Source organism: Homo sapiens, chromosome 2, assembly GCF_000001405.40.
Source record: "Homo sapiens chromosome 2, GRCh38.p14 Primary Assembly".
Taxonomy (NCBI): Eukaryota; Metazoa; Chordata; class Mammalia; order Primates; family Hominidae; genus Homo; species Homo sapiens.
The window spans coordinates 132,302,000-132,325,625 of NC_000002.12; the positions used below are offsets into that span (position 1 = coordinate 132,302,000).

A 23,626-nucleotide genomic window follows, 5' to 3' on the forward strand; every position below is an offset into this window, starting at 1 on the left:
TTCCATACCTAATAACACAACTTTTAAAATGTAAAGCCGCTTGTATACCTAATAACACGACTTTTGAAAAATGAAGTAGGCTGGGCGCGGTGGCTCATGCCTGTAATCCCAGCACTTTGGGAGGCCGAGGCGGGCAGATCACAAGGTCAGGAGATGGAGACCATCCTGACTAACACGGTGAAACCCTGTCTCTACTAAAAATACAAAAAAATCAGCTGGGCGTGGTGGCGGGCGCCTGTAGTCCCAGCTACTCGGGAGGCTGAGGAAGGAGAATGGCATGAACCTGAGAGGGGGAGCTTGCAGTGAGTTGAGATGGCGCCACTGCCCTCCAGCCTGGGCAACAGAGCGAGACTCAGTCTCAAAAATAAATAAATAAATAAATAAATAAATAAATAAATAAATAAATAAAGCAAATGCTATAGAGAGGAAAATGACAAATATACCATTATAGACTTTTTTTTAATTTTTCTTTCTTTCTTTCTTTCTTTTTTTTTTTTTTTTTTTTTGAGACAGAGTCTCGCTCTGTCACCCAGGCTGGAGTGCAGTGGCACGATCTCGCTCACTGCAACCTCCGCCTCCCGGGTTCGAGCGATTCTCTTGCCTCAGCCTCCCAAGTAGCTGGGACTACATGTGTTTGCCGCCATGCCTGGCTAATTTTTGTACTTTTAGTAGAGACGGGGTTTCACCATCCTGGCCAGTCTAGTCTTGAACTCCTTACCGCGTGATCTGCCCACTTCGGCCTCCCAAAGTACTGGGATTACAGGCTTGAGCCACCACGCCCAGCCTGCGAGCCTTTTTGACATGAACTTTTCAATCATTGACAGATGCATAATGAAAAAATCTAAGTAAGCATAAATAAGCATGTAGGAAATTTAAATAGCACAATTAACAAGTCTGGTGAAAATATAAATGTATGCATATCCCTCTGATAGAGAAAACGCATTGTTTTCCAATAGACACAGATGTCACAAAAATTAACATTGTATTAGATCAAAAATAAAAATGTTCCTGAACTCGCTTTTTAAAATTCAAGTATGTCAAATTAAATCAAGTAATCCTTCAACTTAGAGCAATATATAAGAACATCAAACATGTAAACATCAAAAGACAGAAATAAGCCAAAAGAATTGCACTGTCCCTTTATGTGCCCTAAGTTGCAATGTCAAGCTATAGTTGGATATTATTCAACCATTTCCTGCCCATTGCCTAGAGGTAGGGGTCTTCACTTCTCTGTCTAATCTAGGACTGGAACTGCCTCACGACCCCTACAGCTTGAGGGTGCATGGAAAACGGAATGCCAGCCAGATATTCCAAACAGAGCCTCTACCAGCAGGACCAGGTGACCATTCCTAGGAGAGAGATTGTTCTCACCCATTATCAGGGCTTTCCTCCAGGCTAAAACTGTGGGTCTCTAATGGAATTCTTATTCAATTTTCCCACCCCATTAGAGTACACAAAATTGTCTTTAATAGAAATCTTAATTTTTTTTAATTTTATTATTATTATACTTTAAGTTGTAGGGTACATGTGCACAACGTGCAGGTTCGTTACATATGTATACATGTACCATGTTGGTGTGCTGCACGCATTTAGCATTAGGTATATCTCCTAATGCTATCCCTCCCCCCTCCCCCCACCCCACAACAGGCCCTGGTGTGTGATGTTCTCCCTCATGTGTCCATGTGTTCTCATTGTTCAATTCCCACCTATGAGTGAGAACATGCGGTGTTTGGTTTTTTGTCCTTGCTATAGTTTGCTGAGAATGATGGTTTCCAGTTTCATCTCTGTCCCTACAAAGGACATGAACTCATCATTTTTATGGCTGCATAGTATTCCATGGTGTATATGTGCCACATTTTCTTAATCCAGTCTATCGTTGTTGGACATTTGGGTTGGTTCCAAGTCTTTGCTATTGTGAATAGAGCCACAATAAACATACATGTGCATGTGTCTTTATAGCAGCATGATTTAAAATCCTTTGGGTATATACCCAGTAATGGGATTGCTGGGTTAAATGGTATTTCTAGTTCTAGATCCCTGAGGAATCGCCACACTGACTTCCAAAATGGTTGAACTAGTTTACAGTCCCACCAACAGTGTAAAAGTGTTCCTATTTCTCCACATCCTCTCCAGCACCTGTTGTTTCCTGACTTTTTAATGATCTTAAATCTTAAATGCAATAACATAAAGTAAAATAAAGCCTAAGTCCCAACAAGGGGAAATTTTCAAAAATAATCTGAAAACTTCCCGCGTTTTCTTGTTATGTTGTAATGAGTACTCCTGCAATTCCCCTATTAAGGATTCAGTCAATGGTTGTTAATTCATTCTGCTTCTTCTGAGACTAGGAAAAAAATTACAGGGCTATGTTATATCGCAAGTGTAGATTATGCAGTGTCTTCATCAACAGAAACAAAACATGGTGTGGGGCGGGGATGGAACTATTTAAGTGAATTTTAATTGAAAAGTTTCGTGGTTTTAACATTAAAAGACATGCCTATAAAATAAGAACCTGTAAAAGTCTTCACTAAAATGGTAAAGTGCTCATTTCCAAGTAGTAAAATATTGAAACTTTTTCTTTTCATCGTTGATAGTGATTTAACATTTCATTACTTTATCGTTATTATGATTGTCATTATTTTAGACGAATGCACGAAGTCAAAGGACTTCCAAATGCACGGACGTCAAAGGCTACCTTCACCCGGGTAGCCTTGCGAATGGCCACTGCTGCGAGTGGGGCTTTCTGGGGATTGTAGTCCATAGGCCTCCTTGCGCAAGCGCGTGGTACCAGACGCAAGCTAGGGGCGACATTGTTTGGAATGCTGGGTTGAGTCCCGGCTGGACCGCGCCCCTCTCGGAAGTGTAGCCAGGAGTAGGGGTGTAGGATGTGCAGCTGTGACCCGTCCCTGTGGACTGAAGTAGGAGGAGTGGAGGAGGGGACTGGTGACCAATGAAAAGGCCTCGTGGGTGGGGTAGGCTGGGGAAGTTCAGCAGCCCCTATCTACCCGGGATGGAATGGGAAGCGCTTGGGCTCAGTTTGGGGAGCAGCCCTGGGTTTGACAAAACGTGCATCTTCACGTTTCGTGACAGCGACTTGCGCTGTGCCACCTTGGGTCGAGGCTTAGGGTCAGTCTTGGAATGTGCATCCCTGGATGAGGGCAGAGGGGCGCTGGCTCAGGGTTTGGGAGTAATGGCTGGGGCTGTGCCTCCCTGAATGGGATGAGGGATTTGCTTAAGCAGCTTGTCTCTGGAGATAGAGGATGGCTTGGGCTATTCTCGCTCAGTTTGGTGGGGGCGATTCTGGCTCAGCACCCCTAGGTTCTTGGATGGGGAGTTGTCTTGGGTCTGAACTCTGGATTTTGGCAGCTCTGACTCCACTGGGGCATTTCTGACTTCAGGGCAGAGGTTCCGGCTTCTGGCAATAAAGAAACAACTCAGACTGTAAAAACTCTGGAGTTTAATGTCACCGAACACATTTTGAAAAGAACTGCCCCAGGACTGGCGCGGTGTCTCACTCCTGTAATCCCAGCACTTTGGGTGGATCACGAGGTCAGGAGATCGAGACCATCCTGGCTAACACGGTGAAACCCCGTCTCTACTAAAAAAAAAAAAAAATTACAAAAAATTAGCCGGGCATGGTGGCAGGCACCTGTAGTTCCACCCGGGCATGGTGGCAGGCACCTATTGTCAGGAGATCGAGACCATCCTGGATAACACGGTGAAACCCCGTTTCTAATTAAAAAAAAAATAATAATAATAACAAAATATTAGCCGGGCATGGTGGCAGGCACCTGTAGTCCCAGCTACTCGGGAGGCTGAGGCAGGAGAATGGTGTGAACCCGGGAGGCAGAGCTTGCAGTGAGCCGAGATCGCGCCACTGCACTCCAGCCTGGGCGACAGAGCGAGACTCTGTCTCAAAAAAAAAAAAAAAAAAAGAAAGAAAGAAAGAAAATAAAAGAACTGCCCCAAATTATTAACTCCATTCTCACCTCACATGCTGTGAGCCAGGGAGTACGGAATTTGAGTATTATAAAGCACACGAGCAAATGTAAGTTGTTAAATTACACTCACCAAATTTGAAGTTTGAATGCTCTCTGTATATTTGATAAAGTTAGAGATTTAGTGTTAATTATTTTAGGTGTAATAGCAGCATTTATTACATTTCTGATCGTGTTTCTGGACAATTGCAGTTCCAGATTCAGCTGCACTTTTCCTCTAGGTCTTCATTCCCTGAAGAGGTTGATATGGGCATCTGGTCTCATTCCTGATGTATTCCTCAGATCAGAGTAGTTGTCAGTTTGAGGGATGAGAAAGGCATTTGTGTGAGAGAGCTGTGTGGACTTTGGCAGATAGGGAAAAAACAAGAGTCCTGAGGTGCTATGTGTCCCATGCCTTTGGCTCCCCACCTTTTCCACCCTGCTGTCTGCCCTGAAAGGCCACCATTGCCTTCTGGCCTTGCTTGTCTTTGGCCAGTGGGAAGTCTCAACAGGAAAGTTTGGAGAGAGGAAGAAGTGTGAGTTGGAGGATCTTGTCCCCCAGTTCTCTCTCTGCAGGATTGTCACAGATTAGCTGCCCTTCTAAACAACAGGTCATGGTTTGGGTGGCCCTGGCCACACAGTCCTCTCAGTTCCAGGCTCCAGGGACTGCTCCCTCCCCTTACCTCTTAAGGCCCAGGTATTATAATGGCACCTCCTGTCACTTCCCAGGATAGAGCCTTATCCACTCTGATTTCCTTACCCCCAGCCAACACCATCGTAAGCCGTCTGTTTATTAAACTCCCCTCAAATTTGAATGTGCCATCTGGTTCCTGCCATGGCCCATAGTTGATACAGGCAGGGAGTGTCTGAAGCCAGAAATTCAGGAAACCAAACCCTCAACCATATATGTGTGACTGCATGTGTGTAGATGTGTGCTTGAAAATAAACCTGTCCCATCATTGGCTCTTAAGTGAGAACAGGTACTAGAAGTAGAGGGCGAGTTTATGTCTTTGCGCGTGCGTATAATGTATAATATCCAAGCCAATTCTATTTGTTCATTTGTTAATATTAAGAAACATTGATTGAGTGCTTGTTAAATGATAAGATCCTTAGCAAGTACAGTGGATAAAAGACTACAGCTTGTTTTTTTTTTTTTTGTTTTGTTTTTAGGATTTGTAGTTTTTTGACAGGGGAAAGGAGGAGTGTTTCCTTGGTAGGTTTTAACTATTGTAAAATGATGTAATTCATGCTGTATTAATAAGTTGAACATTCCTTATTTTGGCCTTTGTTGGAGCCCAAAATAAGAAGTGATTAATGATGTCTCTTAAAGGTATTAAAGGAGAGAAAAAGAGTCCGAGGATTTACCAAAAAGACATTTCATATTCTATTAACCTGATTCTATAACCCTGTAAGCTGCAATTCAAAGGGTAACCAACAGACCAGTGCCAATAAATGATATTGGTCTGTGACCAGATAATTTGAGAACTTGATTGTAGATGTTTAAAATTTTGTCTTATTGATTAATATAATAATAACAATTGGGCTTTAATTTGCATACCTTCTTTATTTCCTTTTTCCAGTAATTTCTTTTTACTGTATCTTACCAAAATATCAGTCTGTGACAGACTGAAAGTAACGGTAATAATAATATAAAAACTAGTCCTTTATCACAGATAGTGTGAGAAGCACTATCTGAGAAGGCAGAAACGTGGTTTTTGGCTTTTATTTTTTAATCTTTGGAGTTTACACAGTGCTTAAAGTGGCAATTTTATACAGTAAGTTTCCCCACAAAGGCGAGAGGCAATTGTGCTTACAGGGTTTACCAGATGGAATCCCAATAAAAAATAAACAGAACACTCAAATTGGGTAATTTGAGAAGAGCTTAATAAAGGGACAATCTATAAAGTTGTAGGCAGGCTGTGGTAATCAACAAAGGGTATTGCAATATTTCAGAGCTAGTGATAGCAGGGTAACTTACTGCCTTTAGGACTGAAGGGCTAAGGGAGGAGGCAGTCACTAAAATGTGAAGAAAGATTTATGGGATGACAGCTGCCTGATGGTGGCCATGACCTTTGGTCAATGAATATGGAGCATAGCCATTCCACAGCAACCTCTAGGGAAAAACCTGGGGGAATAAATATTCTGACTTCACTCTTGTCCCTTCCCTGGATCTCTTGCTGGCTTTCCCCATTGGCTGAACCCAACTGGAAGCTAATTGGCAAGGGCATCCACTGATATAAGCAGAACAGGAAGGGACTTTAGTGTATATGAAGTGGCAAGCTTAGAAGGTCTATCTATCTACTTTGGTCTACGTGCAGTCTGAGAACATGTATAGTTCAGTATACTGTGAGCATTTCCAGAGCAGAGGATGTGTCTTACATGTCATAAGTGTGTCATCAATATTTGCAAAAGCAAGGGATAAAATGGGTGCTGGAGAGACAGTTTAGGAAGCCAAGAGTCAAGGTGTAGATGTTTAAAAATTTGTATTATTGATTAACATAATAATAAAAATTGGGATTTAATTTGTATATCTTGGCTAATCGCAAGTTCTTTAGACCACAGGCCTGGCCATACAAGATCAAGTCTTGCATGTGAAAGTGGAAATAGCAGAAGGTCCCTGTCATCCTGAGATTGCTCTCTCTTTTTTTTCCTTTTTTTTTTTTTTTGAGACAGTCTGTCTCTGTTGCCCAGGCTGGAGTGCAGTGGTGCAAGCACAGCTCACTGCAGCCTCTGCCTCCCAGGTTCAAGTGATTGTCCTGCCTCAGCCTCCTGAGTAGCTGGGATTACAGGTGCCCGCCACCAAGCCCAGCTAATTTTGTATTTTTAGTAGAGACAGGGTTTCACCATGTTGGCCAGGCTGGTCTCGAACTCCTGGCCTCAAGTGATCCACCTGTCTCGGGTTCCCAAAGTGCTGGGGATTACAGGCGTGAGCCACTGTGCCCAGCCCTGAGATTGCTCCCTTACTCAGCAATTCTGGGGCCTCTTTTCCAGCATAATTCAGATGTAGATTATGTCAGTTCATTCACAAGTCTGAGAAAAGGAAAAGAATGTGCAGGTTTTGACCCAAAAGCTTGAGGAGAGAGATAGGAGTTACATAGTGGTCTGAGATTGAGGGACTGGGGACAAATCTAGGGAAGTCTTGAGGAGGTGGGAGTTCAGTCTGTTCAGAATGAGAAGAGATGATATCTAGGGAGAGAAGAAATTGTGAGAAATTTGTACAGATAAGGAAGGAACCAATGTTCATTTATAACTTGTTGAATCCATGATCTCATGGATTCTTTCTTCTTTGCAGTTCTGCTTTTCCAGAATCCTGCCCTTTCCAAAAGGAAGACGGTATGATTAAGTTCCAGGTAAGTTAAGGGTTTCTTTCTCTTTAAATATACTGTTCATTCTGAGGAACCAGCACTTCTGTTTTCTGAAAGGTCAGCATTTTTTGAGTGACTACTATGTATTAGGTACTTCATCTTGCTCATAATGACTTTGTGAGGCAGGTGGTTTGACTTCCTTTATAGAAGTGAAGAAACAAACTCACAGATTTCAAGATGTCTACTTTGGTGCTACTCTAAGTGTGGTTCATGTACCAGTACCAGTCCATGAACTGCTTATCACTGCCCCATGAGGGAAAAAGAATCAAGACTAAGTTCAGAAGCTTTTATAGCAATTTGGTGTTGCCGCAGCATCTGAGTGCATGGGCAGCATATACATGACCATACTCTAAATGTCACTGGTCTCGTTTGATAAGTAACAAGATTTGAATGGGTATGTATTTGGTCAGAGTTCAACCAGCAAGGTAGAACCAGTAAGAGATATATATTAAGAGATTTATCATAAGGAATTGATTTATATGATTATGGGGGCTAACTAGGCAAGTCCAAAATCCACAGGGCAGTCCCTCAGGAAGGGTGGGCCAGAACTCTTAGACACAGACTGAAGCTGCTGTCTATGGGTGGAATTTCTCCCCCTCCCAGGGAAGCCTCAGCTCTGCTCATAAGACCGTTCAGTTTTTTGAGTCAGACATACTCAGATTAGTTAGAATAATCTCCCTTAAAGTCAACTGATTATGGACTTTAATCACATCTACAAATTATCTTCATAGCAATACCTAGATTAGTGTTTGATTCAATAACTGAGGACCATAGCTTAGCCAAGTTGCCATATTAAAAAGACCGTCACAGTGTGGAGGAAGGATTTTCTTTTAATCATGAAAAAAATTAATTATGAAAATACACAAAAAGAACAAATGGTATTATGAGGCTCCATTTGCAGTACCCATCATGCAGTTTCAACAATTAACTTATTGCCGAAGGGATTTGCTTACTCTCTTTTTCAGTTTTTTCTTTCCCAGAGTATTTGAAAGAGGCATGGTATTTACACTGTATTGGTTTTTCTCTGAGCACATCACTTTTGTATAGTACCTTATTATATATGCAGCTAAAATGAATGAGCTCACACTTTTATCCTTCTGCCTGGAAACCATCTTGCCCAAGTCCAAGATTCATTAGGTACATTTTCTATCTTCCAAATTACAGCAACAATTTACCAAGTGTTCACCACTACATCACCCAGGTCACCATTTTTCCAGCCTCCTATAACAGTGTCCTCAATTGTTATGGCCTGGACCTAAAGCCAATACCATGAGTATTTGGTAGCACTCTGCTGGTTTTGGTTAGCTTGGGTGTGTCCTCATAGTGAAGACAGAGGGACAAGAGAGCAAGTGAACACGTGAGATCTGTCAAGGCCCAGGTTAGAAATGGCACATTCTCACTTCTGCTTCATTTTGGTAGCCAGAGAAAGTTACATTGCCAAGTCAAAACTAAAGGGGTAAGAAAACACACTCTGGTCCTTTAGTGGGATTGGTGAGCATGGAAGAGGATATTTCTAAACAGCAATCTAATTTACTACATTCTCTATGTATTTCAGTATATATTTCCTTAAAAACTGACTAATGAGATAATCAATAATTATTTGGTATTATCTAATACCCAGACAATAACCAAGTTTCCCTGATTATCTCAAAAAATTTTTGACAGTTGGTTTGTTCAAATGGGATCTTACCAAAGGTCTATACTATCATATAGTTGGTGGTTGTGTCTCATAATCTCTTTTAATCTAGAGAAATCTGCCCCTCTACTTTATTCTCTCCTGCTATTGACTTGTAGAAACCAAGTTTGGTGTCCTGTGTTCTTTCCTACATTTGGAATGCATTTGTTTGCTTCCTTTTGGTGTCTTTCAATGTGTTACTCTATCCATAGTATTTCTTGTAAGTGGAAGCACCAGATGCTTGAATAGATTCAGGTTCAAGGTTTTACAAGAATACTTCATAGATGGTTATACAAGAATACTTCAGAGAGGAAAATATTTATAGGTTTTTGCAAGTGTTTATTCGTTGAAAAATTTGGTTTCTTAATATTTTGGGGCTGTCCTTGTATCTGCATCCTATGACAATCGCTGCCTAGGATTCCTACAAGGCATCCATCCAGCTACAAGGGTGGTGGAGAAATGAGTGTTTTGTTTTCCCAGGCTCTATAGTTGAGGCAGAGAAGGGAGAATGGGGTGTAGGCTGGGTGAACCTCTATTCCTAACCCCTTCTCCCTACATTGGAACACCCCAAGCAGACTTCAGGGTATCTGTATTTCCTGAATGATTAACTCCAATTCAATTTTGTTGCCTCCCACAGAAGAAGGCATACAGTAGTGTTACTGAGAGAGTGATGCTATTAGGACAACCGTGCTGACTCCCCTAGATTTTGTTTTTAATCATTGTCAGATTTTGGTAATTGGACAATTGTTAGGAACATATTCTTTGTGAAGTCCTTTGTAACTGCTTACAACTTTCATTTGAAAGCTCTGCATTATTTAGAGATGCAGAGTCTATTGAGAGAACATATCTGTAAATACTTAACTCTGAGCAGTGTGATATATGCAGCAATAGAAATATTTTATGTAAAAATTGTTTTCTTGATTAGGAGATGGTTATTAATATGAGATTAATCCCCACATCATTTTATTTTGAGAAATTTCAATTTATCAGGAAAATGAAAGAATAGCATAATGTGTAATCTTCACATAGATTCACCAATTGTTAACAATCACCCATAAACATATGCATAATATACATATATACACACACATATCTATATTTTATTTTGATGACCCAGTTGGGGATATATTGCAGGCATGATTATAATTCATCCCTAAATATTTCAGCTTGTATCTCCTAAGAGTAAGAGCATTTTCCTACATTTCCACGTTACTGCTAACATACTCAAGAAATTTCACGTTGATACCACTATTTTTTAATACCTAGTTGATATCCAAGTGTTCTTAATTATGATAATAATCTCCCTTTTCTCTACTGTGTTTTTTGAATCTGGGAGTCAGGCTTTTGTTACCCTGTCTTCTTAGTTCCTTTTAACATGATACAAATAGATTAATCTGCCATGAAAAAGTGAAAATACCAAATCTTGGTGTGTGATGAGAAATGAACTCATGGAACAGTACTAGACTTGTGTATCAGCACAACACCTTAGTATAGATTTATCTGTGCCTATTTCCTGGGCCATATTTTATAATTTGATTAATATTGTCCTTTGGGAATCCCTGATCCAATAGGATTAATGTCCTTATGAGACAGCCTCAACAGAGCTTGCTCTCATTCTCCCTCTGCCATGTAAGGACACAGTGAGAGGACAGCTGTCTACAAGCCAAGAGAAGAAACCTGAATGAAACCTATCTTGGTGGTACTTGATCTTAGACTTTCCAACCTCCAGAAAAGTAAGAAGTTAGTTTATTTTGTTTAACCTAATCAGACTGTGGTATTTTATTAAGGCAGCCCAAACAGACTAAGACCAGTCATTTGTGTGGATGATTGACGTGGCATGTGGTTGATGTTTTAGGAAAGGGTGACATTCAAGGACATAGCTGTTATCTTCACCAAGGAAGAGCTGGCAGTATTGGATAAAGCCCAGATAAACCTGTACCAAGACGTGATGCTGGAAAACTTCAGGAACTTCATCTCAGTGGGTGAGTAACTGAGCATCAGACCACTGGACCTGTGTCCTGAAATCATCATTTCAAACCACATAGAAAACTCCAGTTAGATCACAAAGATAAACTTTGACCACTGGAAAGAAAACACCCAAGAGATGCATGTGCAGGTTAGAACCCTGCAGTTAATGAGCTTTTACAGATCAATGTGAGGATCTGGCCCCTTGTGATGGATTTGTGAGGGAGCTCTCCCCAAATCTCATACCCCTGGCCTGTGGGCATTCAATGCAGGCAGTAATCCCTCCCTCCCCTAATCACACATTTAGGCTCTCATTCTTTCCTCATATTTCTCAGAATGAGACATAAAATTCACACATCACCAAGAGCCCTGATCTATTGGATGCTTCTGGAGAAAAATCAATGTTTATCCAATGTTTTGGATAAATCAGTGTTAAAGGAACAAAGGGAGAACTTTGATTTGGTTGGCAGTTACAATAGCCAACACTTACTGGTATGTAGTAAGTGTAATCTAAGTGTTGGCTTATTTGATTACTTTTTGATAAATATCTAACCTCATTTTCATTTCTCAGAGGTTCATATACAGTTATGTGCTACCTAGGTTTATGAGATAGAGATATGGTTTGGCTATATCCCTACCCAAGTCTCATCTTGAATTGTAGTTTCCATAATTCCCACATGTTGTAGGTGGGGCCCGGTAGGAGGTAACTGAATCATGGGGCAGGGGTCTTTCTCATGCTGTTCTTATGAGAGTGACAAGTCTCATGAGATTTGATGGTTTTATAAATTGGTGTTCTCCTGCACAGGCTTTCTCTTTGACTGACACCATGTAGGATGTACCTTTGCTCTTCCTTCACCTTCTGCCATGATTTTGAGGCCTCCACAGCCATATGGAAATATGAGTCAATTAAACCTCTTTCCTTTATAAATTACCCAGTCTTGGGTATGTCTTTATTAGAAACATGAGAATGGACTAATACAGATAGTTATTGTTATTATCCCCCTTTTATGGACGTATTACTCTGTTTTCACACTGCTGATAAAGACATACCTGAGACTGGGCAATTTACAAAAGATAGAGATGTATTGGACTTACAGTTCCACATCCCTGGGGAGGCCTCATAGTCATGGTGGAAGGTGAAAGGCACGTCTTACATGGTGGCAGACAAGAGAAGAGAGCTTGTGCAGGAAACCCCCCCACCTTTTTTTTTTTTTTTAAGAGTCTGGCTCTGTAGCCAGGCTAAAGTACAGTGGTGCTATCTTGGCTCACTGCAACCTCCAACTACCAAGTTCAGGCAATTCTCCTGCCTTAGCCAACCCAGTATCTGGGACTACAGGCATGCACCACCATGCCCAGCAAATTTTTGTATTTTTTAGTACAGACAGGGTTTCACCATGTTGGCCAGGATTGTCTCAATCTCTTGACCTCGTGATCAACCCACTTTGGCCTCCCAAAGTGCTGGGATTACAGGTGTGAGCCACTGTACCCATTCAGAATCTCCCTTTTAAAAACTATCAGATCTCATGAGACTCATTCACTATCATGAGAACAACACAGGAAAGACCCGCCCCATAATTCAATCGCCTCCTACAGGGTTCCTCCCATGACACATGGGAATTGTGGGAGTTACAATTCAAGATGAGATTTGGGTGGGGACACAGCCAAACCATATTATCCCACCCCGGCCCCTCCCAAGTCTTATGTCCTTACATTTCAAAACCAATCATGCCTCCCAACAGTCCCACAAAGTCTTAACTCATTTCAGCATTAACTCAAAAGTCCACAGTCCAGTGTCTCATCTGAGACAAGCCAAGTATCTTCCATCTATGAGCCTGTAAAATAAAAAAACAATTTATTTACTTCCTAGATACAGTGCAGGTACAGGCATTGTGTAAATGCTGCTGTTCCAAATGGGAGAAATTGGCCAAAACAAAGGGGCTACAGGCCCCATGCAAGTCTGAAATCCAACGGGGCAGTCAAATCTTAAAGCTCGAAAGTGATCTCCTTTGACTCCATGTCTTGCATCCTGGTCACGCTGATGTAAGAGATGAGTTTCCATGGTCTTGGGCAGCTCCACCCCTGTGGCTCTGCAGAGTATAGTCTCCCTTCCGGCTGCTTTTGTGGGCTGGTGTTGAGTGTTTGTGGCTTTTCCAGGCACACGGTGCAAGCTGTCGGATCTAGCATTCTGCTGTCTGAAGGACAGTGGCCCTCTTCTCACAGCTCCACTAGGTAGTGCCCTGCTAGGGACTCTGTGTGGGGGCTGTGACATGTGGGAATTATGGGACATGACACTTGGGAATTATGGGAGTTACAATTCAAGAAGAGATTTGGGTGGGGACACAGCCAAACCATACCAATGGATGAAACAACTGAGTCACAGAATTAATAACTTGCCCATGATTACACAGCTTATAAGAAGAACTAGGATTTGAGCCTTCCTAATCTGGCCCTAGGTCCTGTGCTTTTAATAAATAACCTCGTTAAACCAAAGTGTAATCTGTAGACACAGGACCTTCTACATAAATCTGCATATCCCTGCAGTTGTTTCTCAAACTGCAGGATAAAACCCTCTTGGTGAGTCCTGAAATCAAATTACTGTGTCATAACTAGCAATTTTTAAAAAGCAAAATAGATTAATAGAGCAGAAAACAGAAGAATTTATCAAAATGCATTGCACATCGTATGTAAGTATCAGCTGATAAAACTTCTGTTTTAGTGAGCAGTCTGTGTTGATGTCCGTGCCTATTCCTACTGAGTCACAATGCTGATTTTATTGTGGGTTACAATCAAAACAATTGGGAAACCACTGCTTAAAACCCATCTGGGGCAGCTCATGGTCTCCCTTTCCCTGATACTATCTTATAAACTAAAGTCACTTTCAATAAAACAACCCAGAAAGGACCTTGAACCAGAAGCAGTATCCAGTGGGACTTGACCATGATATTCATGCCATTTTGAAACCCATCTTAGGGTCCCAAAAATATGATCATCCTCTTCTGCCTCAGCCCCCTGTTTGTTATATACCACAGTCTTGCTTCCCTGGGTGCCAGGCCATTGACAGTGCCACAGTATCTGTTCCCCATTCTCATTCATGGCTGTTTGAGATTCTGCAATAACTTAAAAGGTCAGAACTTAAGGAAATGGATTATAGTATCTGAGTGGTCTCTATCTTTTCATGAAGACAAAGAATCTTGGGGAAAATAAAAAGGATGTCTCTTAAAGCTTGTCTCAGAGGTTTACATATGCATCCCCGCACAACGCCAGGACCAAGTTTCACAATGTTTATCCCTATTTCAATCCCCATTGCCTTTTTATCCCCATCCCCTTAAGGCTCACCATGTACAGTTGTGCAGGTTGTACACAAACATACATGATAGTCCTCCATATGACAGTGATGTGAAGGAAGGGAAGCCATCAGGAGATAGGACTTGCTTGTTTCTGAAACCTCTTGTGACCCTTGTGTCCCTTACTCTGCCCAACATATAAAAAACACTCCATCAATATGTATTATTTCTATACACACATATACTACGTAAAATGGGAGTCTTTCCCATACCTTTTGTAGCAAGATTATTAAAGTCTTTTTATTGACCACTCTTATAAGGGGGAGGTGAATTTCTTCCTTCATAAATTTTTCCTAAGATTTCCTTTTATTCTTTTTTGCTGTGTGGGGGTGGAAATGTCTTGCTCTGTCACCCAGGCTGGAATGCAGTGACACAATCTTGGATCACTGCAGCCTCTGTGTCCCAGGATTAAGCAATCTTCCAACTTCAGATTTCCAGGTAGCTGGGATCATAGGCAAAACAGAACCAATTTTCAATTTTTTTGTAGAGATGCGATCTCACCATACTGCCCAGCCTGGTCTTGATCTCCTGAGCTTGAGTGATCCTCCCACCTCAGCCTCTGAAAGTGTTGCTGTGACAGGCATAAGCCACTGCACCTGGCCAAGATTTCTCTTAATTTCCCTACAATACTTGATTTCTAATTGGCAGCTCACAGGTTAGAATTACTGTGGCTTTAACTGTTTCCCATGCCAATAGAAGCCAGGGACAACTTCCCACCCCATCATATTTCATTTTCTCAAAACCTCTGGACAGGTGATTCACAAATTCTCTTTCTTCTCATGGGAGATGGGATTAAAAACAACATTTTGAATCTTCAGGGAAAGGGGTTAATTTACCTTTCTCAAGAAGAGCTTCATTGCTGGAAGATTTGGAAACAAAGGATCCGGGATTTAAGTGTGAGTCAGGATTATATCATGAACCTTCAAGAACAGTGTTCCCCACATTTAGAAGATGTATCCCTCTGTGAAGAGTGGGCAGGCATGTCTCTTCAGATTTCTGAAAATGAAAACTATGTAGTAAATGCCATTATCAAAAATCAAGATATCACAGCATGGCAAAGCCTGACACAGGTTCTTACTCCAGAATCTTGGAGGAAAGCCAACATAATGACCGAGCCCCAGAAATCTCAGGGAAGATATAAGGGAATTTACGTGGAAGAGAAATTGTACAGACATGCTCGGCATGATGAGAGCCTCAATTGGACCTCACGTGATCATCATGAGTCCCAAGAATGTAAAGGAGAGGACCCTGGTAGACACCCCAACTGTGGGAAAAACTTGGGTATGAAATCAACAGTTGAACAACATCATGCGGTCCATGTTTTACCACAGCCTTTCACATGTAATAACTGTGGGGTGGCCTTTGCAGATGATACAGATCCTCGTGTCCATCACAGCACTCATCTAGGAGAAAAATCTTATAAATGTGACCAGTATGGAAAGAACTTAAGTCAGAGCCAATATCTTATTGTTCATTGTAAAACCCACTCAGGAGAGACTCCCTATGAATTCCATGAATGGCCTACAGGCTGCAAACAGAGCTCAGACCTTCCCAGATGTCAGAAAGTCCCCTCAGGAGACAATCCCTACAAATGTAAAGAATGTGGCAAGGGCTTCAGGTGCAACTCCTCCCTTCACAACCATCATCGAGTCCACACAGGGGAGATGCCCTACAAATGCCACGTATGTGGGAAAGCGTTTGGATTTAGGTCACTTCCTTGTATTCATCAGGGAGTACACACAGGGAAAAAGCCCTACAAATGTGAAGATTGTGGGAAGGGCTTTGAACAGAGCTCCAACCTTCTTATCCATCAGAGAGTCCACACTGGAGAGAAGCCCTACAAATCCAGTGAGTGTGGCAAGTGCTTTAGTTCAAGCTCCGTTCTTCAAGTCCACTGGAGGTTTCACACAGGGGAGAAACCTTATAGGTGTGGTGAGTGTGGAAAGGGCTTCAGCCAAAGTACACACCTTCACATTCACCAGAGAGTCCACACAGGGGAGAAACAATACAATGCAATGTGTGTGGAAAGGATTTTGGGTATAGTTCTGTTCTTCACACTCATCAGAGAGTTCACACTGCAGAAAAACCATATAAATGCGAAGTGTGTGGAAAGTGCTTTAGTTACAGTTCATATTTTCACTTCCATCAAAGCAATCACACAAGAGAGAAACCATATAAATGTGATGAGTGTGGTAAAGGCTTCAGTTGGAATTCAGATCTTCAATGTTCATCTCAGAGTCCACAGAGGACAGAGGCCCTGTAAGTGTAAGGCATGTGGTAAGGGCTTCAGTCGTAATTCGCACCTCCTTGCCCAACAGAGAGTGCGTATAGATAAGACACAGTACACACATTGTGAGCATGGCAAAGACCTTCTGACTCATCAAAGACTACATGAGCAGAGAGAAACATTATAAATGTAGTAAGTCAGGGTTAAATTAGGAAAACAGAAGCCACACTGTATTCCAGATAATAGAGGCTTACTCAGCCTGTGGGAGGGCTGGGGGAGCAAAAGACAGGGACACTGCCATCGATAATGTCAGCCTGCAGCACTGGAGTGTGCCAGGCAAGGGTTGCGGATTTCAAGAACTTCTGTGAAGCTCCCATCAACTGCTGTATGCTACAATGGCAAAGTAGGTTACTCTTGACAAATGGGTGGTTTGTGGTAGTGTTTGTAGTTAGAGGTCAAATTTCCATTAAAGGGTGTGTCCAGGAAGGAAATTCTAATTGGGATGATTATGGTAAGGTCTTCAGTTTAGCCAAAGTCCTTAGATTTTTTTAGTCCCCAACAGAAAAATACTCTCTGTATGAAGAACATTCAAAAGTGTGCTCAGAAATGAAACTGATGCTCTTACTATGAAAGAACATTAGTACTCAAGTTTTCCATGAGATTCTCTGCACAGGCGAGAAGCTCTACAGAAGTGGCATTTGAAGGGTGTGGCAGAGGCAGTGCTGTGTTTATCACACTGGTTCCATTTCCTTGCAAATAAGAAGACTCTATTTCCCAGTAACACTTGCAGTTAAGAGTGTGCCCATGTTTGAGCTCTAGCCAATGGAATATGAGCAAAAGTGATATAAGCCACTTTCAGGTCTAGCCTTTATAAACATCCTCAGGCTTCTCTATTCCTGCCAAGGTGACCTTGGAGGCTGCTTATTCCAGACTGCATTGATAGAAGGTCGCTATCTGATCTGTGTTGGATTTCTTTTTAGAGTAAGAAATAAAAATTCACTGTGTCTCACCACTGAGATTTTTGGTGGTTTATTTGTTACTGCAGCATTGCCTAGGCCATCCTGACTAGCATGGAGGGATTTTATAGCAATATGTTTCATTGTCATTGGAGTCCACATACAGAAGCAACATTGTAATTCAGAGTTCAAACCTTTTAAGTCTTTAAGGCTTGATGTGGCAGTGCAACCATCTAAAATGGTATGGATGGGACTTCTCCAGTGATAACCTTCATTCATTTGTGTGTACACCAAAGAGAAATGTTCAAGATGATATAGCTGTGGTAAAACTTTACTGAAAAGTACAACCCACAGACGTAAGAAATCTCATACAATAGAGAAACTCTGTAGTGTGGGAGCTGAATAAGTTTGTCAGCTCACACCTTAAATGTGATTAAAAATTAACTAGAATAGGTGTTCTGTGGTTAGTCTTAATAAAATTAATTGAATAAAACTAACATTTACGAAAGTGAGCAACAACATGTAAAAAACCAACAGTGTTAATTGCAGACTGATGCAGTCTTCTTCTCAGCAGCTTCCTCCCAAAATTGTCATTTAATTGGGGATAATAGATGAATTCGAGAGGAGATCTCATTGCTTTTTTTTTTTTCTTTTGGAAACAGGGTCTTGCTCTGTCACCCAGGTGGCTGGAGTACAGTGGCCTGATCATGGCTCGCTGCTGAAGCCTTGAACTGCTGGGCTCAAGTGATCCTCCTGCCTCAGCCTCCTGAGTAGTTGGGACTACAGGCATATACCACCACTTTCAGCTAATGTTTTCTTTTAAAAATTTACTTGTAGAGATGGGGTCTTGCTTTGTTGCCCAGGTTAGTCTTATTCTGGTTTCAAGCAATCCTCCTACCTCAGCTTCCCAAAGTGCAGGGATTACAAGTGTGGGCCACTGCACTCAGCCCACAATGTCTTTTATTTTTTCTTCAAAAACAATGTCCTTTTCTGTTTTAATTGACTTATAAGTTTCTTCATTTGGATCATGGTTTATTCCTAGTTTTTCTTGCATTATATTTTCCTGCCAGTTATAGTTTGTAAACAGAACAGCCATTCAAGTGCAAATAAAACCATCCCTGAAGTGTCATTTTCTTACTGAGCAGGTGGATAAGAGTGAAATATTTTAAAAATTCTGTGTCAGTAGAAATGAGGAAATGAGTGTTCTTACATAAGTTGGTGGGGAAAAAAAACAGGTACAAAGTTGCTGGAGAGGATCTTGTCTATATGTATCAGATGTACAATGTGCATTGTCTTTGAGCCAATGATCCTGCTTCTCAGAATGTATTTTTAGGATGTAATTACATGAGTGGAAAAAAATGGTTTCAGAAAGAAATATGTTCTAAGAATTTTGCAATGAGAAGATCGTAAATGACCTGAAGCTTCATGTATAAGAGATTAAGTAAATTAGGGCATCCCATATAATGGAATAACATGGCTCCATCAACAATGATCTAGACCTATAAAAATGTCCACATATTATTGTCCATGTCCACCACATACTCCAGTCCTCCTACTTGCAAACAGTAGGTTAGAGAAAAAATCTGGGATACACATTATCCCAGGAAGCTTTTGGGGTTTAGAATGGGTGCAACATTCCCTCATGACAGAATCGGCCCTCAGCCTTAGTGGAGGTGTCCCAGGCAATCCTCCAGTATGGCCAGGAGCAGCCCTTGCATATCACATTAAGCTTTTTAAATATATGATGCTAACAGGATTGTCTCCCTACTTCATAAAATTGTTTGCTTTTCCTCTTGTAACAAAGTAGCATGGAAAAAGCAGAAATTAGTCTAGCTCCCAATCAGTGGGAGCCAACTCATTTACAAATATAGATGCAGAGATCCTAAATAAATATGAGCATGTCAAATCCAATGATTTGATAAAAGCGTAACAGACTCTGCTCATATATAATTTATCCTAAATATGCTTATCAGCTTCTGCCTCATAACACACACAAGAACTGAGTAGCTCTAAATACAAATTTATTTAGCTCATGATGTGTGAGCTGGCAAGTTCAGTTGGGCTTAGCTGGGCAGTTCTGGTGTGGGACATGCTAGATTATCTTAACTGGGCTTTGTACATGCATCTGCATTCAGCTGATGGCTCATCTGGGCCTGGCTGTTTTATGATGGTCATAGATGAGACAACGAAGTTCTCTCTGTCACCATGGTCTCTCATCGTCCAGAAGACCAATCTAGGGTTGGTCCCATAGTGCCAGGGTTTCAAGAGCAAAAGCTGTGATCTCTTAAGGCCTTGTCAGAGAACAGGCTCAATGATACTTCCACCACATTCTAATGATTAAAGCAAGTCACAACACTGGCCCAGATTCATGCGGTGGGATTAAGACAAGATAAAAAATTTTGAGATGTAATCATTGGAAGGAAAAAGAAGGTACTATTTTTATGTTAGAGAATAATGTTATTTACTTATAAAATTCAAATCCGCCTGTAAAATTTGACCAATTGAAGTCTGTTTTAAAATTATCACGTCAAAAAATTGGTTTCATACAAAATTGGCACATGAAAACTCATAGCATTACTATGTACGAGTCTTTTATAAAATGTAGCCAAAGTGTTTCATTCACAATAACAATTGTGTGCAAAGACCAGAATTGTCCAAAGGTAATTCTGGGAGTTCCCTTTGGGATGCCTAGGTGGGGAGCTATCTGGAGCCTCAGACTCCCACATTCTTCAGTGGGAAAAGCTTTACATGAGCTCAACTTCCCAGCGGCTTTCTCTTTCTGATGGGAGGTGTTAGAACCTGGCTTTCTCATGCAACTTCTGTGAAGCTCTGACAACTAAAGCCAGATTGTCTGCTTTAGTCAATCTGTTAGATCAATTAGTCATTTGATCTGACAACTAAAGCCAGATTGTCTGCTTTAGTTAAGTAGTCCAGATTACCTGCATAGTCAATTTGTTCCCTCACCAACATGGATGCCTTCACAATTGCTCTTTAAGAAGGATAAAAAGATAGGGGTGAGGTGTGGTCTATCTCCTGCTTCACCCAGGCCCTGGTGCTTCTTCAAGTAGCGTGAGAAATTGTGGTCCTGTGCGTTCTCTTCCAGACCCTTAGCTTATATGTTTTCCCTATAAAACTTAGTCCTAATCCCAGCACTTTGGGAGGCCGAGGAGGGTGAATCATGAGATCAGGAGTTTGAGAACAGCCTGGCCAACATAGTGAAACTCCGTCTCTACTAAAAATACAAAAAATTAGCTGGGCATAGTGGCAGGCACCTGTAATCCCAGCTACTCAGGAGGCTGAGGCTTGAGCCCAGGAGGTGGAGGTTGCAATGAGCCGAGATCGCACCACAGCACTCCAGCCCAGGCGGCAGTGAGAGACTCTGTCTCAAAAAAAAAAAAAAAAAAAAAAAAAAAGAAAAAAAAGAAGTCCCTTATGTGTGATGATAAAATTTGATGAAGAGCAACATTGGTGGACTTACACTACCAGAGATCAACATTTATTATAAATGTTCTATAATTAATACAGTGTAGTATTAGCTCAGGAGAGAAAAAATAGATCAATGGAAAAGAATAGGGAGTCTAAAAACAGATCCACATGTATACAGTGAGTCAGTTTATCAGCCTTGAAATATGTTGGAGAAATAATAGTCATTTTAATAACTGATGCTGGGTTCACTGGCTACTTAACACTAGTTCTTCATACAATTGCAGGCAATAAATACAAATAGCATGCAGCCGGCAGACTGGGATCAGTGGCTATGCCTCCACTAGACTGCCCATAGAAGCACATAGTAACAGCTACCAAAGATGTCTGATCTGTCTTGTCTTTTTTTTAACTCATTTTGTTCAGGTATCATTTACATAAAGTGCAGACTTTAACTACATTTGTTTTAACAAATGTACATATCCTTGTAAATAATGCCCATTCAACATGTTAAACATTTTATTTACCCCCAAAATTTCCCTTGTGCCCTTTCCCTTCATTTCTTTCCAAAAAAGGATATAATCACTGTTTTGGTTTCTATCACCATATGTTGGTTTTGCCTATTCTTGAACTTTATATAAATGAAATCATACTGTAAGATACTCTTGTATTTGGCTTTTTTTCATTCAACATGGTTTTCTAAATTAGTAATTTATAATAAAGAGTACTGCATATTTTATTATTGTTTATAAATTGTGTTCTAAAAACATTCTATGTTAGTAAAATTTATAGTAAACTTCTATAATGTACATACTTTTCTTTCTGGAGAGCCATTTATTAAACATTTATTAGCATACCACTCACAGAGGAGATGTAACCCCAGAATTGGCCTTTTTCTTCTGAAGTCAACTGGCTTTGAATTAGAATGTAACATTAGTTATTATTCCTCATTCCCCACTCATTCTCTGTATCTACTTCCCTTATTTTTTTTCTTTTATTTTTCTGCAGACACTATGGTTACTTAAGTATCTACTTCTCTTTTTCTGCATGTCTTTGAGTGGAGACACTGGTCATCTTTGTTTCCCACTGTCTTTTCAAAGGTGCATGTTAGGGAACAAAAATATAGTGTCTCCCTCTGGAGCAGTAGATTTGTTTATGGCCCACTCTAGTGAAGACAGTGTCTCCCTCTAGGGTGAAGGGCAGTGGTTTTATTCCCACGGGCTATCATAAAAGATTCAGGTTTCCTAAGCTTAAGGTTCTATTCTTACAATGCAGCCTGCTAGGCCTGTGGCACCTGGCCTTTCATGTCACTCTATGGGATTAGAATGCCAAAAACCATTGCAAAGAATGACACTCTGGCTACTGCTGTGGTTGTGGCTAATAAAGTCCTTTGTCTCAGAGCCAGGAGTCTTTTGTCTTGTGCCAGCATCTGTGAGACTGTCAGGCTAACTTGTGAGCTCATAAATTGGTTACTTTCAGATCCTTGGTTTTTGATGGAAATAAATGTCTCTTAATCTCATAGGCAAACTAGAGCTACCTGGAATGCTTTCAGCTTTTTACAATTTTTTACTGGTGAAATATACATAACATGAAATTTACCATCTCAACCATTTTTAAGTGTATAGCTTAGTAGTGTTAAGTACATTTATATTGTTGTAAAACCAATCTCCAAAACTCGTTTTATCTTGCAAAACTAAAACTCTATCCCATTCAACAGCAACCCTCAATTTTCCCCTGCTCCCAGCCACTGGCAACCACTATACTTTGTGTCTCTATGCATTTGACTTCTCTGGGTCACATAAATGGAATCATACAGTATTTGACTTTTTTTTTTTTTTTTTTTTTTTTTTGAGACGGAGTCTCCCTCTGTTGCCCAGGCTGGAGTGCAGTGGTTCCATTTATGCTCACTGCAAGTTCCGCCTCCAGGCTTCACGCACGCCATCTTCCTGCCTCAGCCTCCTGAGTATCTGGGACTACAGGCACATTCCGCCACGCCCGGCTAATTTTTTCCATTTTTAGTAGAGACGGGGTTTCCCCATGTTAGCCAGGATGGTCTCGATCTCCTGACCTTGTGATCCGCCCACCTCGGCCCCCTAAAGTGCTGGGATTGCAGGCGTGAGCCACCACGCCCAGCCCAGTATTTGCCTTTTTGTGACTGGCTTATTAACTTTCCATAATGTCCTTAAAGTTTATTTGTGTTGTAGAATGTGTCAGAATTTTCTTCCTTTGTACACTTGGGTTTCTTCCACTTTTCGGCTATTGTGAATAATGCTGTTACGAACATAGGAGTACAAATATCTCTTCAAGACCTTGCTTTCAATTCTTTTGGACACATACCCAGAAGTGGAATTGCTGGATCACATGGTAATTGTATTTTCAATTTTTTCAGGATCTGCCATTCTGTTTTCTATAGAAGCTGCCACCATTTAACATAATGTTTTTAAGTTCATTTATATTATTATGCTTGTCAGTCTTCTTTTTATGTTCAGAGTAATCAGGAAATTACCACAGTTTGCCCATTCTCACGTTGGTGAACATTTGTTTCCAGGTTTTGGAAATTTTGAATAAAGCTACTAAGAATATTCTTGTATTAGTGTTTTTGCAGACATATGCTTTGATTTCTCTTGGGTAAATACCTAGGAGTTGAATTGCTGTCATAAGCTAAGTGTATGTTATCTTTATGAAGAATTGGCTGTC

The 23,626-nt window shown here is 41.0% G+C and overlaps 1 pseudogene across 1 annotated transcript; it reads left to right on the top strand.

Moving 5' to 3' along the window:
* The first annotated feature begins 2,806 nt into the window (after window positions 1–2,806).
* On the top strand, window positions 2,807–21,666 carry ZNF285CP (zinc finger protein 285C, pseudogene; annotated as a pseudogene). Its single transcript, NR_172491.1, has 4 exons — window positions 2,807–2,915; window positions 7,267–7,324; window positions 10,870–10,996; window positions 18,169–21,666. The product of NR_172491.1 is annotated as a zinc finger protein 285C, pseudogene (transcript).
* The last annotated feature ends 1,960 nt before the right edge of the window (window positions 21,667–23,626 follow it).